Source organism: Homo sapiens, chromosome 3 (assembly GCF_000001405.40).
Source record: "Homo sapiens chromosome 3, GRCh38.p14 Primary Assembly".
NCBI classification, from domain to species: Eukaryota; Metazoa; Chordata; class Mammalia; order Primates; family Hominidae; genus Homo; species Homo sapiens.
The window spans coordinates 185,272,402-185,290,580 of NC_000003.12; the positions used below are offsets into that span (position 1 = coordinate 185,272,402).

Sequence of the window (18,179 nt, forward strand, 5' to 3'; positions counted from 1 at the left end):
CTCAAATATGCCCACAGTTTACTATGGCCCCAGTGTTCTGGATTGCAGTTCTTCTGCTTATTCCCAATTAAACTCAATATTTTTAGAGAGTCTCTCTGCTGGTTTCTTAGGTTGACACAAAGAATATCAGTAATGATGATTTATATAATTTCAAGTGGCTTGTTCAAGTGTCAAGTGTTGAGCCTTGGAGATATACATATATTCATTATATTAATGTTTAATAGAAGCCGTCAGGATTCCTAAAGAAAACCCAATTGTGGCAAAAATGACTCAATCGCGTGTTATCTTCATCAGGTGAAATTAGTCAGAGATCAATGATGTATTATTGAGCATATTTAAAGTTCACAGCCATATGCTGCAACCAAATCTGAGCTGAACACAGCCAAAAATTGATCTGAGAATGCATTCACTGCTATTTCTCATGTTTCAACTTCTCAGCTTTTCAGTGAGCCTGGCTTATCGCTTTAGGTCTGCAGGTAGTTTTTCATTACATATGTCATCTCTGTCAGCTTCTGAACTGAAAATCATACAAGAAATGTCGCTTTTCAACACCATAAGCACCTTTTATGACATCTCGGCATTCTCCAACATCCAATTTCATTTCGTGTTGAAAATGCAATTAGGCTATCGTTCGCAGGTCTCTCTCCCAATTTCCCACTGTATATCATTCTTTTCAGAGAATATTTCATTTGCCAATGATCATTCCTTTCAGCTTTTCTGACAAACTGACCCTAGTAAGAAAAAGGCTACATACATATATGTTGGAGATATGCCCCAGGTAACTTACGTTGTGTATTCTTTCTAATACAGGAATGCTTTACCACCATTCCTGGCAAAAGATAAAAGATTACTCATTCCCCTGAATGCTTCCAGTGATGGGGAGCACAGTACTCTTCATGGTAGAGTTCTGTTTACTTAAAAAAAAAATAGTCCCTATTCTATTCCCTGTGACCTTCCCCTACATGATTCTACTTTTGTTCTCAAGAATTATATATTAAATCTCTCTTTAATAGAATGGTCTTTCATCAAATATTTAAAGATACTAACAAGTCTGCCCTAAGCTGTTCCTCTTAGGGGCTTTCTCAGGGACTACCATGTCTCATATGGTAAGGTATTTCTAGCTGCTATGGTGGTTGTTCAGAATACTCTTTGAATTCGTCAATGACTCTTTTTTTAAAAAATTTTTTATTATACTTTAAGTTTTAGGGTACATGTGCACTACGTGCAGGTTTGTTACATATGTATACATGTGCCATGCTGGTGTGCTGCACCCATTAACTCGTCATTTAACATTAGGTAGATCTCCTAATGCGATCCCTCCCCGCTCCCCCACCCCACAACAGGCCCCAGTGTGTCATGTTCCCCTTCCTGTGTCCATGTGTTCTCATTGTTCAATTCCCACCTATGAGTGAGAACATGCGGTGTTTGGTTTTTTGTCCTTGCGATAGTTTGCTGAGAATGATGGTTTCCAGCTTCATCCATGTCCCTACAAAGGACATGAACTCATAATTTTTTATGGCTGCATAGTATTCCATGGTGTATATGTGCCACATTTTCTTAATCCAGTCTATCATTGTTGGACATTTGGGTTGGTTCCAAGTCTTTGCTAATGTGAATAGTGCCTCAATAAACATACGTGTGCATGTGTCTTTATAGCAGCATGTTTTATAATCCTTTGGTTATATACCCAGTAATGGGATGGCTGGGTCAAATGGTATTTCTAGATCTAGATCCCTGAGGAATCGCCACACTGACTTCCACAATGGTTGAACTAGTTTACAGTCCCACTAACAGTGTAAAAGTGTTCCTATTTCTCCAAATCCTCTCCAGCACCTGTTGTTTCCTGACTTCTTAATGATCACCATTCTAACTGGTGTGAGATGGTATCTCACTGTGGTTTTGATTTCCATTTCTCTGATGGCCAGTGATAATGAACATTTTTTCATGTGTCTTTTGGCTGCATAAATGTCTTCCTTTGAGAAGTGTCTGTTCATATCCTTCGCCGAGCATCCATTCCCTGTATTCTGTACCTCTCATCAATTGGGCCATATTCGTGTTTCCTTAACTCATGTTTGCTCTCTCTTTTAAAACTATAAAGACAGGGTTTTTCCCCCCTTTCAAACTTCCAGGAAAGTGTTTTTTTGTTTGTTTGTTTGTTTTTGAGACAGAGTCTCGCTCTGTTGCCCAGGCTGGAGTGCAGTGGCATGATCTTGGCTCACTGCAACCACTGCTTCCCAGGTTCAAGCAATTCTCATGCCTCAGCCTCCTGAGTAGCTGGGATTACAGGCATGCACCACCATGCCTGGCTAATTTTTGTATTTTTAGTAGAGGCGGGATTTTACCATGTTGGCCAGGCTGGTCTCAAACCCCTGACCTCAAGTGATCTGCCCACCTTGGCCTCCCAAAATGCTGGGATTACAGGCATGAGCCAACGCACCTGGTGTGTTGTTTTTTTTTTTTTCTTAAAAGGGATAATTAATTTTTTATTGAGGTATAACTCATATACCATACAATTCACCCTTTTATTTTATTTTTGAGACAGGGTCTTCTAGGCTCGAGTACAGTGATGCACACGGCTCACTGCAGCCTCAACCTTCTCGGCTCAAGTGATCCTCCCACCTCAGCCTCCTGAGCAGCTGGGACTACAGGTGTGTGCCACCACATCTGGCTAAATTGTGTATTTTTTTTGTAGAGACAGGGTTTTGCCATGTTGCCCAGGCTGGTGGCAAACAATTCACTCTTTTAAAGTATAAAACTGAGTGGTTTTTAGTATATTCACAAGGTCGTGCGACCATCACCACTCTCTAATTTCAGAACATTTTAATGACTTCAAAAAGAAATCCTTTATCCATTAACAGTCCCTTACCATTCCTCTTTCTCTCTATTCTTGGCAACCACCAATCTACTCTAATAGACACACTAACCTGTTTCTATGGGTTTGCCTTTTCTAGATTTTTCAAATACAGGGAATCACATGACATGTGGCCTTTGGTGTCTGGCTTCTTTCTCTTAGAATAATGTTTTCAAGTTTCATCCATGTTGTAGCATGTATCAATACTTCGTTTCTTTTTATGGCCGAATATTTCATTGCAAAAATAAACTGTATTTTGTTTATTCATTCACAAGTTGATAGATATCTGGGTTATTTCTACTTTTTGGCTACTAGTATATGAATATGTATATGAAATTTTTCATGAACTATTCATTTCATATACAAATTTTTGCATAAATTCTCTTGAGTATATATCTAGGAGTCGAATTGCTAGGTCATATGGTAACTCTGCTTAACTTACTGAGGAATTACCAAACTGCTTTCTTGCTTTCTTCATTTTTTTTTTTTTTTTTTTTTTTGAGATGGAGTCTCGCTCTGTTGTCCAGGCTGGAGTGTGGTGGTGCGATCTTGGGTCACTGCAAGCTCCGTCTCTCAGGTTCACGTGATTTTCCTGCATCAGCCTCCCAAGTACCTGGGATTATAGGTGCATGCCTCCATGCCTGGCTAATTTTTGTATTTTTTTTTTTTGTATTTTTAGTAGAGACAGGGTTTGATCATGTTAGCTAGGCTGGTCTTGAACTCCTGGCCTCAAGTAATCCGCCCACCTCAGCCTCCCCAAGTGCTGGGATTATAGGCATGAGGCACCATGCCCAGCCCCAAACTGCTTTCTAAAGTGGCTATGCCATTTGACATTCACACTAGCAATGCATGAGGTTTCCAATGTCTCCATAACCTTGCCAACACTTGTCAGTTTTTAAAAAATTACTAAAGTATTTGTTCTTAGATATATCTTTCTTTATTACCAAGCATGGTCTTCTCCCTTTTGTGAGAATACATATTTAGAATTTGTCTGGCTTATGGAAAGCACTCAATAAAAATATTCATATTGTTAGCCATTATTAGTGTTATGTACCTTTAAGAGGAATCAAATTGAGTTGCCTTTTCTCTAATATTACGTTTCCATCTGCTTTGAGTAGCAAATAGAATACACCTAATATATGATGCATTGTTGAGTTCAAGGCAAAACAGGTTGATATAACTCAAATGTTCCAGCAGTTGTTATTTCTTTCCAGGTTTCCCTAACAAAGTGCCTTGATTTTAAGCCTGGGGATTCAGCCATTGTGGAGCAGGTATGCCGCCCCTACATGGGGGATGAGGCTTCTGATGTTGACACTGGCCAGGGCCTTTGCAAACAAGCCAGGCCAAAAAGGTTCAACAGTTACAGCAGGTGCTTTAATGAGGGCATTGATCTTCTCTGTGATGGTCACCTCATCAGCATGCAGGGTGAGGGTCAAGTAGATGGAGTGGAGCTTGGAGATGAAGACAGAGGCCGTGGTGTGGGTAATGCAGGGCTGTCTCTGCCAGGCGCGGTGTTAGTCACTGAGTGAAGTGGGCCTCACCCCAATGCAGCTTTAATTTCTTCATGACAGAGCACCTTGGCGACAGATGAGAAAAGGGAGCAATTTCTTAAGACAACAATAAAGTTTGCCACATCAATGGATTCTTCCTTTCATGAAACACTCCTCTGTATCAGGCAATGCTGTTTGGTAGCATTTTATCCACAGGAGAATTTCTTTCAAAATTGGAGTCAATCCTCCCGAACCCTGCCGCTGCCTTGTCAACTAAGTTTATGTAATATTCCAAATCATTTGTTGTCATTTCAACAGTGTTCACATCTTCACCAGAAGTAGATTTCATCTCAAGAAACCACTTTCGTTGCTCATTCATAAGAAGCAACTCCTCATTCCCTCACATTTTATCATGAGATTGCAACAATTCAGTCCCATCTTAAGGCTCCACTTTTAATTCTAGTTCTCTTCCTATTTCTACCACATTTGCACTTTCTTCCTACACTGAAGTCTTGAACCCCTCAAGTTATCCATGTGGGTTGGAATCAACTTCTTCCAAACTTCCAAACTCTTATTAATGTTGATATTTTTACCTACTCAAGCATTATACATTAAATTTATCTTTAATAGAATGGTCTTTCATCAAATATTTAAAGATACTAACAAGTCTGCCCTAAGCTGTTCCTCTTAGGGGCTTTCTCAGGGACTATCATTTCTCATATGGTAAGGTATTTCTAGTTGCTATGTTGTTTGTTCAGAATACTCTTCAAATTTGTCAAATATTCTCATTAGTCACAAATGTTCTTAATGGCATCTAGAATGGTAAATCCTTTCCAGAAAGTTTTCAATTTACTTTGCCCAGATCCATCAGAGGAATCACTATCTATTGACAGCTATAGCTTATGACATGTATTTCTACTTCTTTTTTTTTTTGACAGAGTCTCGCTGTGTTGCCCAGGCTGGAGTGCAATGGCACGATCTCGGCTCACTGCAACCTGCACCTCCTGGGTTCAAGCAATTCTTCTGCCTCAGCCTCCCGAGTAGCTGGGATTACAGGCATGCGCCACCATGCCCAGCTAATTTTTGTATTTTTAGTAGAGATGGGGTTTCACCATGTTGGCCAGGCTGGTCTTGAATTCCTGACCTCAGGTGATCTGCCCACCTCGGTCTCCCAAAGTGCTGGGATTACAGGCATGAACCACCATACCTGGCTGAAATGTATTTCTTAAATAATGAGACTTGAGATTTGAAATTGCTCCTTGATCCATGGGCTGCAGAATGGAAGCTGTGTTAGCAGGCATGAAAATAACATTCATCTCCTTGTATACCTCCATCAGAGCTTTTGGATAACAGATGCATTGTCAATGAGCTGCCATATTTTGAAGGAATTTTTTTTTTTTTTTTTGAGACCGAGTTTCGCTCTGTCACCCAGGCTGGAGTGCAGTGGCGCAGTCTCGGCTCACTGCCAGCTCCGCCTCCCGGATTCACACCATTCTCCTGACTCAGCCTCCCGAGTAGCTGGGACCACAGGTGCCCGCTACCACACCTGGCTAATTTTTTTTGTATTTTTAGTAGAGACGGGTTTCACCGTGTTAGCCAGGATGGTCTCGATCTCCTGACCTCGTGATCCACCCGCCTTGGCCTCCCAAAGTGCTGGGATTACAGGCGTGAGCCACCGCGCCCGCCCGGAATTTTATTTTTTAAAGCAGCAGATCTCACCAGTGGGCTTAAGATATTCAGTAAATCATGCTGTAAACAGATGTGCTATCATCCAGGCTTTTTTGTTCCACTTATAAAGCACAGGCAGAGTAGATTTAACGTAATTCTTAAGGACCCTAGGATTTTCAGAATGGCAAATAAGCACTGGCTTCAAGTTAAAGTTACCAGTTGCATTAGACCCTAACGAGAATCAGCAGGTCCTTTGGAGCTTTGAAGCCAGACACTGACTTCTCCTCTTTAGCTATGAAAGTCCTAAATGGCATCTTCTTAAAATAGGAGGCTGTTTTATTGAAAATCTGTTGTTGTTTAATGTGGCCACCTTCATCAATAATCTTAGCTGGATCTTCTGGATAACTTGCTACAGCTTCTTCATCAGTACTTGCTGCTTGACCTTGCACTTTTATGTTATAGAGAAGGCTTCTTTCCTTAAACCTCATGAATTAACTTCTGCTGGCTTCCAACTTTTCTTCTGAAGCTTCTTCACCTCTCTTAGCCTTCACAGAATTGAAGAGAGTTAGGGCCTTGCTCTGGATTATGCTTTGGCTTAAGGGAATGTTGTGGCTGGTTTGATCTTCTATCCAGATCAATAGAACTTTCTCTATATCATCAATAAAGCTGTTTTGCTTTCTTATCATTCGTGTGTTCACTTAAGTAGCACTTTTAATTTCCTTCACATTTACAACTTGACTAACTATATGGCACAAGAGGCCTAATTTTTGGCCCATCTTGGCTATCTATATGTCTTCCTCACTAAGCTTTACCATTTCTAGCTTTTGGTTTAAAGTGAGAGACATGTGACTCTTCACTTCAACACTTAGAGGCCATTGTAGGATTATTAATTTGTCTAATTTCAATATTGTTTTGTTTCAGAATAGGGAGGCCCTAGGAGAGGGACAGAGATGGGGGAAAGTCCCATTGATGAAATAAAATATACACAATATTTATCAATTAAATTTGCTGTCTTAATGGCATGGTTGATGGTGACCCAAAACAATTACAATAGTAACACTAAAGATCACTGATCACAGATCACTGTAACAGACATAATAATAATGAAAAGTTTGAAATACTGCAAGAATTATCAAAACGTGACAGAGATATGCTGTTAGAAAAATGGCACTGACAGACTTACTCTACACAAAATTGCTATAAACCTTCAATTTGTTAAAAATGCAATATCTGAGCAGCACAAGAAAGTGGTGCACAATACAATGAGGTATGCCTGCACTGAACGTGTGTCCATCCCCTCAGGGTGTGTACAGTGTGTAGATATGAACACAAGCTGCTAGAGCGATTTTGCCATCTCAAGGAAAGCTGGCCGTAAGTGGAAGCAGATGCTACTGAAGGCAGAGCAAGACAGAAACAAATATGGGTCCTGGATGATATCGTCGAGTTGCTGAGGCAACCAACCCTGATGCCTGTCATAATACTCCAGTTATAGAAGTCAAGATATGCCCTTATTGTTTAAGCCAATTTGTGTTGCATTTTGTGGAAGATGCAAAGATACGCTGCCCAGATTCCCTTTCAAGGAAGCACTTGCTGCCCAGGTGCAGGGAATGCGGTTAGCAGGCAGCCCCCAGCTATTTTCTTCAGGGTCTGCTTCTGCTGCAGAAGGCCACCTTGCTTGAGATTACACCCTTTCTAGGGCAGACAGCATCTAGCATAAGGGGCTGGCTATTTTAGCCTGACAACGATACTCTTGATGGGCAATACTTACTCTAAAGCTCCCTCCCAGGATGGCTGAGGATTTGCTGGACCTGAATAGCAGTTCAACTACTTCCTCTGAACAATCCTGCTTCCACTCCATTCCTAACAAAAATCTTCTCATCTCCAATCTGGAATACTCAATCTGTGACAAGTTTTCTGTAACATCAGGCAAAAACATCCTGAGATTCAGTGGGCTAGTTTGAATTCAATCTTGTCTATAGAAAGAGAAATGCACTCATGATCTCTTATTTTTGACTTTGTGTTAAGGAAGATTTCCAGCATGCACAAAAAGAGAGACAAGAATATAATGAAACAACAATATCAATATATGACCAATAGTTATCATCTGATACCCTCGTGTATTATTTTAAAATAAGTCCTAGACATATTATTCCATCCAAAAATACCATAGTGCACCAATGTTTACTTTGAGATGCAATACAATGTCTTCTTCTCCGTTCTCCTCCTAATCCAACTCCTCTTTATGTTATCTCATCTTTTCTTCCTCTTTCCACCACCATAGCTTTAAAAAGAGGAACTGTTTTAATAGAAGGGGCAGGGGTGGCAGTAGTAAGGGATAGATGGCCCAGAACAAATACTGGAATCCTTTCATTCATTCAACATTCAACATTCATTCATTCAACATTCTAGAGAGTATCCTCTCTCAAAGTCTTGGGATACTCAATCATCACTAGTATAGGCAGTTGTTCAGATAGGTGGTACTGGACAATGACGTTTTTGTTTAGCCAGAAGGAAGCAAGGAAAAGAGTCCCTTAACACCTGCCATCTAGTGGTCACAGTGATAAGTAACATGCATGTTTTCTACTAAACAGATTAATACATGGTTTGTTCTATGGAACAAACAGGAAATTAAGGCCAGAGGGGTAAAGTGATTTAAGGTCATATGGCTAGTTAATAGCAGGGCTTGGCATAGAACCCAAACAAGTTGACTTTAAGACCTGCGTAAATTGTGATTGTTTGAAACGTAAATATGTCATTCAAATGATTTTAAATTTGATTAAAGTATCATCCTGTTTTGTATTTAGTTGTATTAAGTTATAGTATATTAGTATCAAAGGAGAAAAAGTGCCATTGGTTGAATGAGGGAACAAGATGGGCCTATGAGATAATATTAACATTGAATTATTTTCCATTACATGGTCCCACTACCAACATTTCCATAATAATAATAATAATAATGCCTATGCTAGCTCTGTCATATTCCTAAACAAAGGTTGAATAGTTATTAAGAGAAATTGCTTCCAATTAAACTAAATGCAATTATGCCACATCATTGACCGTACATTCAGAGTCTATGTTACCTTCTGGAGTTTGTTGGATCTGTTACTTATTCCTGTCCAGCCAGTTAAAATTGAAGGTAGAGCTCACAGGAGCTGATACTTTACTCTTTATTTCTGGGTAAATATAAGAAGTTTGCCAGGGGAACGGAAATACTGTGTTTCAAATGAATGCAATGGCCACACCAAACATTCAGATGTTCATCACAATTAGGCGGCATCTAGGTTACATTGCCCTTGTCTCTCCAGGACTGGGATTTTCCTAATCCTTTTCACTTGAGAGGGAAGGATTTAAAAGTGAATCTACCCTTACCTTATTAACATTTTGAGGCAGATTTTGGGAATGGGAGAGGTGGCAAGCATTTTGAGACTCTACTTTTGGTGCTAGCATTGAAACTCATTGTGTGACATTTAGACGCTTCTTTGGATCCAATTTTCCTTACCTGTAACAGCAAGAGGTTGACTAAGTGATTGCCTCTAAAAGTTCCTTTCAGTTCTGTCATTCTGCGAAATTTTTGGGCAAAGATAAATCTTCAGCTCAGCTGGTCCCTTCTGCTTTTTCCTGGGTTGACTTCCTTCCTCCCACTATCATTTATTGAGTATCTCCACGTTCTTGAGGGTAGGGCCTGGGTTTTATTCAACTTTCCCCCATTAACTAGCACAATAACTAAGCAGGTTATTTCCAGCAGGGTTAAAGTTGTTTTCTATATAAGATTCCAACTTTGTCTGGAGGGGCTCACAGTTCCGAAGAGGGTGCCAGGCATCATCAATTAATTAAAAGCCGAGTATCCATAAACATAAAAAAAAGTAGGGGGGACATAAAGGGTAGCAGGAAATCTGGTTCCAGTTGTCCTTAAGCACAGGTATGTTCCAACAGGGAATAAGAGTGCATAGTAGTGCAAAAAGTAATGGTTAACACTCATCGAATGCTTTCAATATGCCAGTGCTTTCCACGTATTATCTCAAGTAATACAATCGTCCTATTTTCTAGGTACTAGTATTATGTTTCACACTTGAAGTGGGCACAGAGAGGTTAAGTATCATGCCCAGGTAACACTGTTAGAAGTGAGAGGCAGCACTTGAAACCAGATAGCACAACCTCACTGCCTGCACTCTTAGCACTCCACTAGGTAGATAAATAAGAAAAATCATAGTAACAATCATGATTTCTCCAAGAGGCCAGGTGAATTTGACCAGTGATGAGTCCAAGCTACAGAAGGAGCAGAGGGAAGTGGCTGCCGAAAAGAAGGCTAAAGAAGTTTGCAAAAAGATAACATGCACTTTTCCAGGCTAGATACACAGGCGGAGAAGCAAACCGGCGAAATAAAATCCGACAAGCAAGATCTGGAGCGCATCAGGATGCCAGGTGAACTCAAAGACAGGTCGGAAGTGACGTCACTAGCCGAGTCGGGCGCTCAGCGGGACTGCGGGTCCGGTGGAATTCCGGCCGGACGTGGCGCACAGGAAGTTACGCACGGGAGGCGGTACCTGGTTGTGGAGGGTGACGCCATGGGTGGGGCGGAGCGTCTGGGATGCGCTGGGAGCCTAGGATCCCCGACAGGTAACCTGCGGGCGGATCTGAACGGGGGGCGAGGGTGGCAGCTGGAGTTGATGGCCTAGATCGCTCGGGGCCCTAAGCGCGGGTGGACACAGGTTAGGTAATGGACAGCATTAGGTGGCGGCTGAAGAAAAGGCTCCTTGGCATTAGACTCTCTGAGGGGTTGAGGATATGGAGAACTCTTGGGAACTTGGTCTTGGGGCCCGAAGTCGTCGAGGAAATACAGACAGGTTGAGTCTTCTAGGAATCAGACATGGCTGGGGGTCATGGGTTTCCGATCACTGGCGCTTATGTTGGAGAGACGGAGCCTGGGGCACTGAGATGAGTTGACCTAGGGTTCACCTACCCCGACCTGTTCTGCTAATAGGGGACAGGGACCTCGACTTTTTGTCTCTTAACTCGTAGCATAGTGCCTTGCGACAAGTAGGCATGCTTTAGATGTTGTCGAAGGAATGAATGAATGAATGAATGAATGAACCAACCAACCTGTTTCTGGCTTCCCGGCAGAACCTCTCCCAAATTTCAGTATTCTAACCTCTGAATGTAGAAATGACTCCAGTTTAGTTTGCTAACCAGGGGTTTATGAGGATGCTGGTGCAGGAGATACCCAGTACATTGTTGGTTTTTGTTAGTTTTGTTTTTTATGGTTATTGAAATTCAGAAATGTGTCTTAGTATTCTTATCCGGGTGGAGAGGATGAGTCATTTACTTTGGCTTCTTTCAGGTTCCTTTACTTTTCTGGGAAGAACTTGTAGGGAAATGATACCAGGGAGGAGTTGGACCGTTGTAAATAAACTGCTGTTGTAGCACTGACTGTTCTTAATGCTTTCTTTTAAGCAAAGTAAACTTACTTTCCTTTTTCTTTCTTTCTTTCTTTTTTTTTTTTTTTTTTTCTGAGACGGAGTCTCGCTCTGTCGCCAGGCTGAAGTACAGTGGCGATCTCGGCTCACTGCAACCTCCGACCCCCTGGTTCAAGTGATTCTCCTCCCTCAGCCTCCCGAGTAGCTGGGATTACAGGCACGCGCCACCACCCCCAGCTAATTTTTGTATTTTTAGTAGAGCCTCGGCCTCCCAAAGTGCTGGGATTACGGGCGTGAACCACTACGCGCGGCCACTTTCCTTTTTCTTAATGTTTTCTTCCTTATCTTATAAGTAAGTGTACTACTTACATTTGAGATGTGAGAATTTTAACTCACTAAAAATATGTTATAATTGAGAATATATCTTATATTTTCCATTATAAAAATGAAAATAGTAATTTATAAAAATCCAGAGATTACAGCTGGTGTTTATAAGTAAGGTTAACTCCTTCTGAACAGTTGTATTAATAGAGGGTCCCCAAAAGAAGATTAAACTGTTTCCTTTGTTGGAAGTACTTGCTTAGGTGTCTTAAATGTGATAAAGTGTGGGGCCGGGCACGGTGGCTCACACCTGTAATCCCAGCACTTTGCGAGGCCAAGGTGGGCGGATCACTTGAGGTCAGGAGTTCGAGACCAGCCTGGCCAACATGGTGAAACCCCATCTCTACTAAAAATATGGAAAAAATTAGCCGGGCGGGGCTCGAGCCTGTAATCCCAGCTACTTGGGAGCTGAGGCGCGAGAATCGCTTGAAGCCGGGAGGGGGAGGTTGCAGGAGCAGAGGTTGTGCCACTGCACTCCAGCCTGGGCGACAGAGTTAACTCCTCAGGAACTATAAATAAATAAATATAAAATATAAATAAATAAATAAAATTTAAAAAATAAAAATTAATTTTAAAAATGTGATAAAAAGTGGGCAGGGACCTAAAAAACAACTACTGTAACCAGATTGGTTTTGGTTGTCAAATGGAAAAAAAGTGCAGATGAGACTGTCGTCAGGCTATGTAATGAAATCTTGGCATGAATTACTACCTAGTCCAGTGAGGTGAATGTTGATGGGCTACATAATGAGATAGCAGCTCTGGTTTCAGAATCTTACTGTTAGATGGGGTATAGTGGGGTAGGAAACCCTGAATTTATGTCATACGGGTGTGTGTGTGTGTGTGTGTGTTTTACAAAGATGAAACTCGTAAGCATTTTTTAGATGTAAAAATCTAAGATGTTCTTAAAATAGGCTGAAAACTCCAAAAAGTTGACATGTAAATATATTATTGCACTATTTAAATTTTAAGTTTACATACCCTTAAACCTTGTGTTCCCGATTTCTGGAAAGTGCCCAGAATCATGCCCATTTGTGTATACTGTTACCGTGGTGCCACCCTTAGAATACATAAAATTATGGTACAAAGTCATGTTTTGAGATCCTGTAGATTTATGTTAATATTATTGTCTTACTTAAAAATGCAGTCTAATTTTGCTACCTCAGTCTCCTGTTCAGTGTCAATCTGCTGTTCAATGTGATGTCCACTAAATTTTGGACATCTAAATGTCTGTGTAGTATAACTTTTATTCATAATGAGTTGGTATCTCAGTGGTACCTTAGGTCTGTACATTGACATTCTTGAGGTTTTTAGTTTTGCAGAACACTGAAATCTATGGACTCTAAAATGGACTTCATTTAAAGAAACCCACGGACCATTAATGGACAAAAACATGAGTCAATATGTATTGTGGCATTCAAATCCTAGCACTCTGGGAGAGGTAAGTAGTTGACTGTGTTTTATGTTTGGTGAGATGGTAGACCAATCTTAAATTTGCCTAGGAAATTATAGGATTGTAATTGAAAAGTACAGTTCTTAATCTCTTTATGTTTTAATCAGGACCTTCCAAAGAGAGGTTTGTTTTGTATATATGAAGCAATTGTTCTTATTTTCCTGTAAAGTTGATAAGAAATTTAAGATTGGCAAGCTATATTTATATTGTTCCTGGAAGGCTACTGCTCTGCTTTCTTTTTTTAGGGGGGAGCTTCCTTTCAACACTTTACATCCGGGTAGAAATAATTTAATCTGTGGATCCCGTGTAGAAATGAGGCCTCAAATAGTCATTTAAATTATCTTGCATCCAAGTTTCGCTGTGTAATAGTATATGTATCAAATCTACTGATTAGTTTTATCTTGTGCCTCAGGTTTAAGCAAGAAAAGAGGCCAAAAAATGTCTTCGTTTCTTTATTCTGCCTTATTTATACTATTTTATTTTTTCTTTCTTCTTCTTTTAAAAAAAATTTGTTAGGTGGTTGATTCTCCAGGCCTTTTATCTTTCTGTCTCAAGGGGGCAAAATTTCTTTTCTCCCATTTTGCCTTTTTTAATTGATCAGTTTGTTCATTTTCAGAACCTAAACTTCTAACTTTATGATAATATTTGTCACCTTTTAATCACTAAACATTAAACTTACAGGTTTTTGCTGGTCTCCTTTGTAGATACACTGGTTTCTTGTTTAGAATTTGTTTAATTCTATAGCAGGCAGTACTTCTAGGAATTCATCTTTCAGATCTATTTGGCCTTACACACAGAAATTTGCATACAAAGATTTTTTTCACCATATTGTTTGAAATTAAAAAAAAAAAAAATCAACCTGCTAGAAATAGCCTGTGCTTCAACAGAGGTCTAGTTAAATGACTGCCTTTATACAGAGTAATACTTTGCAGCTCTTAGGATAAAGTAGGTGCAGAGATGCAGATATGGAAAAATCTCTAATATACCTTATTAACTGGGAAAACAATAAAAAGAACTTTACATATAGTATGTTTTCATTTGTGTTTATATAGAGCATACATTTATATACATACATACAAAACTTCTTCAAACCAGTGTAAGGAATTATTGACAGATTACCCTGGGGAATGAGACTAGAGGCCTAGAGTAGGAAGAAGAGACTTACATCTCACATTTTTTCCATATACTATTTCTGCTGGGTTGATTTTTTTTTTTTACTATGAGCATGTTTGTATTTTCATAATGCTAGGAAACAAACAGCAAGGCTTTAGGATAATTTAACAATTATGAGAGCCTTTTACTATTCCCTTATGACTTTCTGTTCTTATAATACTTGGACTATTTAGAAGAAGTAGGGTTACACAAATGAGTTAAGTTTTTTTCAGAGCTGCAATCTATTCCAGTCCATTGTAATATATTTTAAACCTTGACGTTAGATTGTTACTATTAAGATCTTAAGAATACTCAGTGCTTAGTCTTGCTGAATTCAGTATTCATTTACAGTATATTGCATGTTGCTGACCTGACCAGGTGATACCGTGGGTGTTACCTTTGTTTGCAAGCTAGGTTAGTATTGCAGTGGCATAGTTCTGAACTTCACAGTATTACTGAATAGGATGAACTTTGTTTTATTTGAATTGCTATTTAGGGACTTTTTAAACAACTCTTATTATTTTACTTTGTTCTTGATGTTTAGAACTGGCTTAAGGCATTTCGAAGAATAGCTTGTTCTGTTAGTAAAATCAGCAAACCAGAAAAATAATTTATATAATTGGCAATCTCATTTTGTATTACTTTGAATTGGCTGATTATCTGCCTTGGGAATGCAGCAGAAAATTCTGGTGACTTTTACTTCGATAATCATTTTTGTCTTCCCACACTTTTATTGTAGGATATTTGGAGTAGTAGTAATAGATAAGTAAAATTAATTATATGAAAATTTAAATAATAATCTTTATTTTTTAATAGAGATTTTATTAGAAACTTGCTTGAGAATAGGCTTTATAAGATACATACCTATATGATACCACTTATTGTGTGTCTGTTAAAATTAATAATGAAGGCTGCTAACTAGGGGTTGAGTCATGATTAGTAGAATAAAAGAAGTTATAGGCTCATGCCTGTAATCCTAGCACTTTGGGAGGCCGAGGCAGGCAAATCACCTGAGGTCGGGAGTTCGAGACCAGCCTGACAACCATGGAGAAACCCCATCTCAACTAAAAATACAAAAAATTAGCTGGGCATGGTGGCACATGCCTGTAATCCCAGCTACTTGGGAGGCTGAGGTAGGAGAATCATTTGAACTCGGGAGGCAGAGGTTGCTGTGAGCCAAGATCGCGCCATTGGACTCCATCCTGGGCAAACTTGGCAGAGTATTTTGCATATAGTCATTTCTGTTAAATGATGCTTTGTTTCCTAATGTCCTTGGGATTAATCACTATCATCATGAAGGGGAAATCAGTGAGTGGGATGCCTAGATTAAGACTCCTTATTCTTGCTAAGTGAATGGATAGCAATGAATTGAATCCAAGGACAGATTCTTTTCCTAAATCAAGAGGATAGAATATGGTAAAGGTGACATGGAAAGAAAGGAGATGAACCTGAATGTAAAAGTTACATGTAGAAAACACAGAAATGAGGAAAGCTGCTTCTGTATGTGTGTGTATATATGTGTGTACATAGATACATAGTATATTATACCTACATCTATGTATATTACATACATATATATGTTCCAGAAATATATATATTTATATAGAGAGAATATATATATTCCAGAAAAATATATATAATTTATATAGAGAGAATATATATATTCCAGAAATATATGTGTGTGTATATATATAGAGAGAGAAAAAGAGAATATGTGTGTGTGTGTTTGTGTGTATATATATATTCCAGAAAACCAGATAGGAAGTTATTGAGTTAGTCAATGAGAAAAAATAAATAAATAAATAAGTGCATTAAGGCCTTAGAGCTGGGCCTGTCATAGGCTAATTGATGATTTTGCGAGTAGCTTAAATAATTTTCGAAGTTTTAAGATTATTCACAGAGTCGAAATGACAGGAAGGCAGACCTAAGCCTAAGTGAGAAAATTAAAATGTAGCAACATAAATTATTATGTTAACCATATCTTTTGAGATTCTGTTTTGTGTTGTTTTGGGGAGGGCAGAAAGAAGAGAGAACTCAAAAATTTATTGCTGTTCAATTTGAATTGAACTAGAACATAAGTCTTTCCTAGCATTCCAATTGTTTATGATCAAGATTAACCAAGATTAAACAGATCACTTTAACCTGTAAAACATTAATACACAAAAACAGATTTGATTACCTTGCAGAACAGGAGAACTGTTTTTACTCAACGTTTTGATCCTATAAAAGGGTAATTGTGATGATCTAGATTGAGGGGACTGGGAATTTTTAGAAGACTTTGGAAGGGTTGGAGAAACTCCATAGGAAGTATGCTTGTTCTCTGTTATTTGAGGCCAAATTTCATTCAAAATAAGAGAAAGTATAGAACTATTAATAGTTAGCAGTGAAGCAGACTGTGTTGAGAGGCAGTGAACTCCTGGTAATTAGGGTTGCTTAAGCAGAATTTGAACATCAGGAACATTGTAGAGGGAATTTTTCATTGTATGGGAGAGTGTACTAGATTATTCCGGAGGCCTCTTTCAAATCCTAAAAACTTTTTTATAGTGTAATAAAGTGATTTATTGTCGATGGGTTTAATCTCTTATTCCTATATTTAAATACTGATAGCTAACATATCCACTGGTCACTTATCCACCAACCTTACCTCACCCATAACCAGGACATAAATTTTAAATTACTTGAACTTCAAATTATAAGACATAAAATTAACATGCTTTTCTCAGGTCCTTACTCAGTTTACTTTTATTTTAGACACAATTCTGATAGGCTTAATTAGCTGGCATCTAACTCCATGAGATATTAGAAGTAACAAACCATGAAGAGTCCAGGTGCTTCTATTAGAGGCAAAGAAAAAAAGAAAAAACCATAAAGCAGACCAGCTAATTTAAAATTGTAGCAACCTGAGTCCTTTTGATAAGATGAAAACAGCTCTATATTAATGGATATTCAATATGATAACCCTGACTGAACAGAAATAATTTATGTTTGGTATTTTCTATTGAAGAAAGGAAGAATACCTGAATTTTAGAAAGATCTCTTCAGTGTGTTTAATAACAAAAGACAGTCGGACAGATATTTTGGCATTTGGAGAGGCTGCGTTGTATAGTGGAAAGAGCGCAAACTCTAGAGTAATACAGACAGATTTGAATCTGGGCTCCAGTCTATTAATTAAGTTTTATTATTCATTTCAAGCCTCAATTTCCTCAACTGTAAAAAGGAATTTGCTGAAGGTTAATGTATATAAAGGCTTGCCTAAGTAAAAATAGCTATTATTATTATTTCATTATTACCATAAAGCTTACTTTATCTTGAATAACGTTTTTTTTGGCTATTCAAGTAGAGCAAGAACAAACTTATCTAATAGTTTTAGCGTAAGTTCAATATATATAATGCCAATAATGGTGATGGCATGCTTGAAAAAACTTTAAAAAAATTATACAAGTAATTCATATCCACTTTACAAAAATTAGGTTATAGAAAATATACCTAAGCAAAAAAAGGAGTAAAGTTGTCAGAATCCTTTATCACTATAATATTTTAGTGCGTGCTTCATTTTTAAACTGCTTTGACATTCCCACAGGGTGTCACTTCTGAGCAGTGACTGCTGAAATGGATTCTATATTACTCCTGTTGGGGAATTTACATTAGTCACTGTGCTTTCTAATCATAACATGAAGTGAAAGATTGTGACATGGCACAATGCTGATTAAGATAAAGCCCGGGTCCTGGTAAATTCTGTTGTATTGAAACCAATTTTGTAGAGTGGTGGGTGT

At 38.7% G+C, this 18,179-nt stretch overlaps 1 protein-coding gene and 1 long non-coding RNA gene across 6 annotated transcripts in view, besides 6 other annotated features; one reads left to right on the forward strand and one right to left on the reverse strand.

Moving 5' to 3' along the window:
• Positions 1-1,166: 1,166 nt before the first annotated feature.
• On the reverse strand, positions 1,167-10,456 carry LOC124900548 (uncharacterized). Its single transcript, XR_007096203.1, has 2 exons — positions 9,509-10,456; positions 1,167-7,923 (listed from the first exon to the last, which is right to left on the reverse strand). It is a non-coding gene; the product is annotated as an uncharacterized LOC124900548 (long non-coding RNA).
• Positions 8,568-8,647: a silencer, noted in NCBI's record as "silent region_14973". NCBI's record gives its function as "represses an Ori minimal core promoter by ATAC-STARR-seq in GM12878 lymphoblastoid cells {active_cell/tissue: GM12878}" and the evidence as "EXISTENCE:reporter gene assay evidence [ECO:0000049][PMID:35858748]".
• Positions 9,691-10,890: an enhancer, noted in NCBI's record as "BRD4-independent group 4 enhancer chr3:184999880-185001079 (GRCh37/hg19 assembly coordinates)". NCBI's record gives its function as "activates an origin of replication core promoter dependent on BRD2, P300/CBP, MED14 and CDK7 cofactors, and independent of BRD4, by STARR-seq in HCT116 cells {active_cell/tissue: HCT116}" and the evidence as "EXISTENCE:reporter gene assay evidence [ECO:0000049][PMID:35650434]".
• Positions 9,691-11,171: a biological region, named in NCBI's record as "BRD4-independent group 4 enhancer GRCh37_chr3:184999880-185001079".
• Positions 10,465-11,171: an enhancer, noted in NCBI's record as "H3K27ac hESC enhancer chr3:185000654-185001360 (GRCh37/hg19 assembly coordinates)". NCBI's record gives its function as "activates a minimal SCP1, AML or CMV promoter by ChIP-STARR-seq in primed H9 embryonic stem cells {active_cell/tissue: H9 hESC(primed)}" and the evidence as "EXISTENCE:reporter gene assay evidence [ECO:0000049][PMID:30033119]".
• Positions 10,522-10,661: an enhancer, noted in NCBI's record as "active region_20919". NCBI's record gives its function as "activates an Ori minimal core promoter by ATAC-STARR-seq in GM12878 lymphoblastoid cells {active_cell/tissue: GM12878}" and the evidence as "EXISTENCE:reporter gene assay evidence [ECO:0000049][PMID:35858748]".
• MAP3K13 (mitogen-activated protein kinase kinase kinase 13) overlaps positions 10,560-18,179 on the forward strand; it is a 206,134-nt gene continuing 198,514 nt past the window's right edge. For 4 of the 5 annotated variants that reach the window (NR_038322.2, XM_047449193.1, XM_017007456.2 and 1 more), the window contains exons 1-2: positions 10,560-10,626; positions 13,116-13,242. Coding sequence is in view for 1 of the 5 variants with exons in the window: in NM_001242317.2 (NP_001229246.1) it covers positions 13,205-13,242 (38 nt within the window). In the remaining 4 variants the exon portion in view is untranslated. The remainder of the gene's footprint in view (positions 10,627-13,115; positions 13,243-18,179) is intronic. The other variant, NM_001242314.2, reaches the window with a different exon arrangement.
• Positions 10,722-11,011: an enhancer, noted in NCBI's record as "active region_20920". NCBI's record gives its function as "activates an Ori minimal core promoter by ATAC-STARR-seq in GM12878 lymphoblastoid cells {active_cell/tissue: GM12878}" and the evidence as "EXISTENCE:reporter gene assay evidence [ECO:0000049][PMID:35858748]".